This window comes from Homo sapiens, chromosome 8 (assembly GCF_000001405.40).
Source record: "Homo sapiens chromosome 8, GRCh38.p14 Primary Assembly".
Taxonomy (NCBI): Eukaryota; Metazoa; Chordata; class Mammalia; order Primates; family Hominidae; genus Homo; species Homo sapiens.
In genome coordinates this window covers 47,751,369-47,759,487 of record NC_000008.11, presented here as the reverse complement: position 1 = coordinate 47,759,487, position 8,119 = coordinate 47,751,369, and the positions used below count along the sequence as shown (strand labels likewise).

At 41.2% G+C, this 8,119-nt stretch overlaps 1 annotated feature.

The window, feature by feature from the left end:
* Positions 6,695-7,195: an enhancer, noted in NCBI's record as "H3K4me1 hESC enhancer chr8:48664855-48665355 (GRCh37/hg19 assembly coordinates)". NCBI's record gives its function as "activates a minimal SCP1, AML or CMV promoter by ChIP-STARR-seq in naive H9 embryonic stem cells {active_cell/tissue: H9 hESC(naive)}" and the evidence as "EXISTENCE:reporter gene assay evidence [ECO:0000049][PMID:30033119]".

The following is an 8,119-nucleotide window of genomic DNA, read 5'->3' as shown; positions in this document are numbered from 1 at the left end:
AAGAAACAAGCAGCAATCTTTGCTGTTCTGCAATCTTTGCTGTTCTGCAGCCTCCGCTGGTGATACCCAGGCAAACGGGGTCTGGAGTGGACCTCCAGCAAACTCCAGCAGACCTGCAGCAGAGGGGCCTGACTGTTAGAAGGAAAACTAACAAACAGAAAGGAATAGTATCAACGTCAACAAAAAGGACGTCCACACAGAAACCCCATCCAAAGGTCACCAACATCAAAGACCAAAGTTAGATAAATCCACGAAGATGAGGAAAATCCAGCACAAAAAGGCTGAAAATTCCAAAAACCAGAATGCCTCTTCTCCTCCAAATGATCACAACTCCTTGCCAGCAAGGGAACAAAACTGGATGGAGAATGAATTTGATAAATTGACAGAAGTAGGCTTCAGAAGGTGGGTAATAACAAACTCCTCCGAGCTAAAGGAGCATGTTCTAACCCAATGCAAGGAAGCTAAGAACCTTGAAAAAAATGTTAGAGGAATTGCTAACTAGAAAAACCAGTTTAGAGAAGAACATAAATGACCTGATGGAGCTGAAAAAACACAGCACAAGAACTTTGTGAAGCATACACAAGTTATCAATTGCCAAATTGATCAAGTGGAAGAAAGGATATCAGAGATTGAAGATCAACTTAATGAAATAGATCATGAAGACAAGCTTAGAGAAAAAAGAATGAAAAGGAATGAACAACGCCTCCAAGAAATAGGGGTCTATGTGAAAAGAAGACCAAACCTATGTTTGAGCTCCTGAAGGAAGCACTAAATATGGAAAGGAAAAACTGGTACCAGACACTGCAAACACATGCCAAATTGTCAAGACCATTGACACTATGAAGAAGCTGCATCAATTAGTGGGCAAAATAACAAGCAAACATCATAATGACAGGATCAAATTCACACATAACAGTATTAATACCCCCAATTAAAAGACACAGACTGGCAAATTGGATAGAGTCAAGACCCATCTGTGTGCTGTATTCAGGAGACTCATCTCACATGCAGAGATACACATTGGCTCAAAATAAAGGGATGGAGGAATATTTACCAAGCAAACAGAAAGCAAAAAAAAAAAAAAAAAAAAAAAAGGAGGGGTTGCCATCCTAGTCTTTGATAAAACAGACTTTAAGCCAACAAAGATCAACAAAGACAAAGAAGGGCATTACATAACAGCAAAGTGATCAATGCAACCAGAAGAGCTAACTCTCCTGAATATATATGCACCCAATACAGGAGTACCCACATTCATAAAGCAAGTTCTTAGAGACCTACAAAGAGACTTAGACTCCCACACAATAATAGTGGGAGACTTTAACACCCCACTGTCAATATTAGACAGATCAACGAGACAGAAGGTTAACAAGGATATTCAGGACTTGAACTCAATTCTGGACCAAGTGGACCCAATAGACATCTACAGAACTCTCCACCCCAAATCAACAGAATATACATTTTTTTCAGCACCACATCACACTTATTCTAAAATTGACCACATAATTGGAAGTAAAACATTCCTCAGCAAATGCAAAATAATGGAAATCATAACAAACAATCTCTCAGACCACACAGTGCAATCAAATTAGAACTCAGGATTAAGAAACTCACTCAAGGCCCGGCATGGAGGCTCATGCCTGTAATCCCAGCACTTTGGGAGGCTGAGGTGGGCAGATCATGAGGTCAGGAGATCGAGACCATCCTGGCTAACATGGTAAAACCCTGTCTCTACTAAAAATACAAAAAGTTAGCCAGGCATGGCATGGTGGTGGGCACTTGTAGTCCCAGCTACTTGGGAAGCTGAGGCAGGAGAATGGCATGAACCCGGGAGGTGGAACTTGCAGTAAGCCAAGATCACGCCACTGCACTCCAGCCTGGGCGACAGAGTGAGACTCCATCTCAAAAAAAAAAAAAAAAAAAGAAAGAAAAAAGAAAAAAAAAGAAACTCAATCAAAACTGCACAACTACACGGAAATTGAATAACCTGCTCCTGAATGACTACTGGGTAAATAATGATATTAAGGCAGAAATAAGTAAGTTCTTTGAAACCAAAGAAAACAAAGACACAACATAACAGAATCTCTGGGACACAGCTAAAGCAATGTTTAGAGGGAAATTTATAGCACTAAATGCCCACAGGAGAAAGTGGAAAAGATCTAAAATCAACACCCTAACATCATGGTTAAAAGAACTAGAGAAGCAAGAGCAAACAAATTCAAAAGCTAGCAGAAGACAAGAAATAACTAAGATCAGAGCAGAAAAAAAGGAGATAGAGACAGAAAAAAACCCTTCAAAAATTCAATGAATCAGCCGGGCACTGTGGCTGATGCCTGTAATCCCAGCACTTTGGTAGGCCAAAGCGGGCAGATCACCTGAGGTCAGGAATTCGAGACCAGCTTGGCCAACATGGTGAAACCCCATCTCTACTAAAAATACAAAAATTAGCCAGGCATGGTGGTGCACACCTGTAATACCAGCTACCCAGGAGGCTGAGGCAGGAGAATTGCTGGAACCCGGGAGGCAGAGGCTGCAGTGAGCTGAGATCACACCACTGCACTCCAGCCTGGGCGACAGAGCAAGACTCCGTCTAAAAACAAACAAAAAAAAATCAATGAATCCAGGAGCTGGTTTTTTGAAAAGATTAACAAAGTAGATAGACCACTAGCCAATAAAAAATAATAAAGGGAATATCACCACTGACCTTCCAGAAATACAAACTACCATTAGGGAATACTATAAACACCTCTATGCAAATAAACTAGAAAATCTAGAAGAAATGGATAAATTCCTGGACACATACACCTTCCAAAGACTAAACCAGGAAGAAGTCGAATCCCTGAATAGACCAATAACAAGTTCTGAAATTGAGGCAGTAATTAATAGCCTACCAGCCAAAAAAAGTGCAGGACCAGATGGATTGACAGCTGAATTCTACCAGAGGTACAAAGAGAAGCTGGTACCATTCCTTCTGAAACTAATTCAAACAACAGAAAAAGAGAGACTCTTTCCTAACTCATTTTATGAGGCCAGCATCATCCTGATACCAAAACATGGCAGAGACACAACAAAAAAAGAAAATTTCAGGCCAATATCCCTGATGAACATCTATGTGAAAATCCTCAATAAAATACTGGCAAACCGAATCCGGCAGCACATCAAAAAGCTTATCCACCACGATCAAATCTGCTTCATCCCTGGGATGCAAGGCTATTTCAACATACACAAATTAATAAATGTAATCCATCACATAAACAGAACCAATGACACAAAAGCCACATGATTATCTAGATAGATGCAGAAAAGGCCTTTGATGTAATTCAACACCACTTCATGCTAAAAACTCTCACTAAACTAGGTATTGATGGAACGTATCTCAAAATAATAAGAACAATTTATGACAAACCCACAGCCAATATCATACTGAATGGGCAAAAGCTGGAAGCATTCTCATTGAAAACGGGCATAAGACAAGGATGCCTTCTCTCACCACTCCTATTGAACATAGTATTGGAAGTTCTGGCCAGGGCAATCAGGCAAGAGAAAGAAATAAAGGGTATTTAAATAGGAAGAGAGGAATTCAAATTGTCTCTGTTTCCAGATGACATAATTGTATATTTGTAAAATCCCATTGTCTCAGCGCAAAATCTCCTAAAGCTGATAATTTTGCAACTTCAGCAAAGTCTCAGGACACAAAATCAATATGCAAAAATCACAAGCATTCCTATACACCAACAATAAACAAACAGAGATCCAAATCATGAGTGAACTCCCATTCACAATTGCTACAAAGAGAATAAAATCCCTAGGAATACAACTTACAAGGGATGTGAAGGACCTCTTCAAGGAGAACTACAAACCACTGCTCAAGGAAATAAGACAGGACACAAATGGAAAAACATTCCATGTTCATGCATAGGAAGAATCAATATTGTGAAAATGGCCATACCGCCCAAAGTAATTAATAGATTCAGTGCCATCCCCATCAAGCTACCAGTCACTTTCTTCACAGAATTAAAAAATTAGTTTAAATTTCATATGGAACCAAAAAAGAGCCCACATAGCCAAGACAATCCTAAGCAAAAAGAAGAAAGCTGGAGGCATCATGCCACCTGACTTCAAACTATACTACAAGGCTATAGTAACCAAATCAGCATGGTGCTGGTACCAAAACAGATATATAGACAAATGGAATAGAACAGAGGCCATAGAAATAATGCCACACATCTACAACCATCTGATCTTTGACAAACCTGCCAGAAACAAGCAATGGGGAAATGATTCCCTATTTAATAAATGGTGTTAGGAAAACTGGCTAGCCATATGCAGAAAACTGAAACTGGACCCCTTCCTTACACCTTATACAAAAATTAACTCAAGATGGATTAAAGACTTAAACATAAGACCTAAAACCATAAAAATCCTAGGCTGGGCACAGTGGCTCATGCCTGTAATCCCAGCACTTTGGGAGCCCGAGGCAGGCTGATCACGAGATCAGGAGATTGAGACATCCTGGCTAACATAGTGAAACCCCATCTCTACTAAATATTCAAAAAAAATCCAGGCATGGTGGCACGGGCCTGTAGTCCCAACTACTCTGGAGGCTGAGGCAGGAGAATCACTTGAACCCGGGAGGCGGAGGTTGCAATGAGCCAAGATTGCGCCACTGCACTCCAGCCTGGGTGACAGGGTAAGACTCTGTCTCAAAAAAGCAAAACAAAACAAACAAACAAAAAACAAACCCTAGAAGAAAACCTAGGCAATACCATTCAGGACGTAGGCATGGGCAAATGACTTCATGACTAAAACACTAAAAGCAATGGGAAGAAAAGCCAAAATTAACAAATGGGATCTAATTAAACTAAAGAGCTTCTGCACAGCAAAAGAAACTATCATCAGAGTGAACAGGCAACCTACAGAATGGGAGAACATTTTTGCAATCTACTCATCTGACAAAGGGCTAATATCCAGAATCTACAAAGAACTTAAACAACTTTACAAGAAAAAAAAAACAACCCCATCAAAAAGTGGGTGAAGGATATGAACAGACACTTCTCAAAAGAAGACATTTATGTGGCCAACATACATATGAAAAAAAGCTCATCATCACCGGTCATAGGTGTATGTGTCCAGGAATTTATCCATTTCCTCTAGATTTTCTAGTTTATTTGTGTAGAGGTGTTTATAATATTCTCTGATGGTAATTTGTATTTCTGTGGGATTGGTGGTGATACCCCTTTTATCATTTTTGATTGCATCTGTTTGATTCTTCTCTCTTTTCTTCTTTATTAGACTTGCTAGTGGTCTATTTGTTAATCCAATTTGCCAGTCTGTGTCTTTTAATTGGGGCATTTAGCCAATTTACATTTAAGGTTAATGTTGTTATATGTGAATTTGATCTTGTCATTTTGATGTTCACTGGTTATTTTGCCCACTAATTGATGCAGTTTCTTCATAGCACTGATGGTCTTTACAATTTGGCATGTTTTTGGAGTGGCTATTACCAGTTGTTTATTTCCATGTTTACTGCTTCCTTCAGGAGCTCTTGTAGGGCAGGACTGGTGGTTACAAAATCTCTCAGCATTTGCTTGTCTGTAAAGGATTTTATTTCTCCTTCACTTATGAAGCTTAGTTTGGCTGGATGTGAAATTCTGGGTTGAAAATTCTTTTCTTGAAGAATGATGAAAATTTGCCTCAACTCTCTTCTGGGTTGTAGGGTTTCTGCAGAGAGATCCACTGTTAGTCTGATGGGATTCCCTTTATGGGTAACCTGACCTTTCTCTCTGGCTGCCCTTAACACTTTTTCCTTCATTTCAATCTTGGTGAATGTGACAATTATGTGTCTTGGGGTTGCTCTTCTTGAGGAGTATCTTTGCAGTCTTCTCTGTATTTCCTGAATTTGAATGTTGGCCTGTCCTGCTAGGTTGGGGAAGTTCTCCTGGATAATATCCTGAAGAGTGTTTTCCAACTTGGTTCCATTCTCCCCATCACTTTCAGGTACACCAATCAAACGTAGGTTTCACCTTTTCACATAGGCCCATATTTCTTGGAGACTTTGTTCATTTCTTTTTACTCTTCTTTCTCTAACCTTGTTTTCTAGCTTTATTTCATTACTTTGATCTTCAATCACTGATACCATTTCTTCCACTTCATTGAATCAGCTATTGAAGCTTGTATGTGCATCACATAGTTCTCATGCCATGGTTTTCAGCTCCATCAGGTCATTTGAGGTCTTCTCTACACTGTTTATTCTAGTTAGCCATTCATCTAATCTTTTTTCAAGGTTTTTAGTTTCCTTGCGATGGGTTCAAACATCCTCCTTTAGCTCAGAGAAGTTTGTTATTACGGACCTTCTGAAGCCTACTTCTGTCAACTCGTCAAAGTCATTCTCCATCCAGCTTTGTTCTGTTGCTGGTGAGCAGCCGTGATCCTTTGGAGGAGAAGGGGCATTCTGATTTTTAGAATTTTCAGCTTTTCTGCTCTGGTTTCTCCCCATCTTTGTGGTTTTATCTACCTTTGGTCTTTGATGTTGGTGACCTACAGATGGGGTTTTGGTGTGGATGACCGTTTTGTTGATGTTGATCCTATTCCTTTCTGTTTGTTAGTTTTCCTTCTAACACTCAGATCTCTCAGTTGCAGGTCTGTTGGAGTTTGCTGGAGTTCCATTCCAGACCCTGTTTGCCTGGGTACCACCAACGGAGGCTGCAGAACAGCAAAGATTGCAGAAAAGCAAATATTGCTGCCTGATCCTTCCTCTGGAAGCTTTGTCCCAGAGAGGCAGCTGCCTATATGAGGTGTCTATCAGCCCCTACTGGGAGGTGTCTCCCAGTTAGGCTACACGGGGCTGAGGGACCCACTTGAGGAGGCAGTCTGTCTGTTCTGAGTTCAAACACCATGCTGAAAGAACCCTGCTCTCTTCAGAGCTGTCAGACAGGGAATTTAAGTCTGCAGAAGTTGTCTGCTGCGTTTTATTCAGATATGCCCTGCCTACAGAGGTGGAGTCTAGAGGCAGTAGGCCTTGTTGAGCTGTGGTGGGCCCCGCCCAGTTTGAGCTTTGTTTACCTACTCAAGCCTCAGCAATGGTGGATGCCCCTCCCCCAGCCAGGCTGCCGCCTCTCAGACTGCTGTGCTAGCAGTGAGCAAGGCTCTGTGGGCATGAGACCCGCTGAGTCTGGCACGGGAGAGAATCACCTTGTCCGCCGGTTGCTAAGACCTTGGGAAAAGTCCAGTATTTGGGCGGGGAGTGCCCCGTTTTTCCAGGTAGTCTGTCATGGCTTCCCTTGGCTAGGAAAGGGAAATCCCCCAACCCCTCGTGCTTCCCGGGTAAGGCAACGCACCGCCCTGCTTCAGCTTGCCCTCTGTGGGCTGTACCCACTGTCTAACCAGTCCCAATGAGATGAACCACGTACCTCTGTTGGAAATGCAGAAATCACCTGTCTTCTGTGTCAATAACGCTGGGAGCTGCAGAACGCAGCCGTTCCTATTCGACCATCTTAGAACACCCTCCAATTTTATCTGAGCGCTTTTCATTTCTTGTTGGCCATTTGTATGTCTTCTTTGGAGAAAAGGCTATTCAAGTTCTTTGCCTATCTTGTAACTGGGTTGTCTTTTTGTTGTTGAGTTCTAAGAGTTCTTTATATATTCTGGATACTAGACATTTATCAGAAAATGGTCTGCAAATATTTTCTCCCATTCACTGGCTTCACTTTTCACTCTATGGTGTCCTTTGGTGCACAAACATTTTAATTTTGATGACGTCCAATTTATCTATTTTTTTCTTTTGTTGATTGTGCTTTTCATGTCATTACTAAGAATCCATCAACAAAATGAAGGTCATGAAGATTTACTCCTATGTTTTCTTCAGAGTTTGATGGTTTTAGCCCTTACATTTATATCTTTGATCCACTTTCATTTAATTTTCCTATGTGGTGTGGTGTAGGAGCCAAAATTAAATCTTTTGCTTGTATATGCCCTGTTGTTTCAGCATTTTTTTTTTTTTGAGACTGAGTCTCGCTCTGTCGCCCAGGCTGGAGTGCAGTGGCACAATCTTGGCTCACTGAAACCTCCACTTCCTGGGTTCAAGCAATTCTTCTGCCTCAGCTTCCTGAGCAGCTGGGACTAC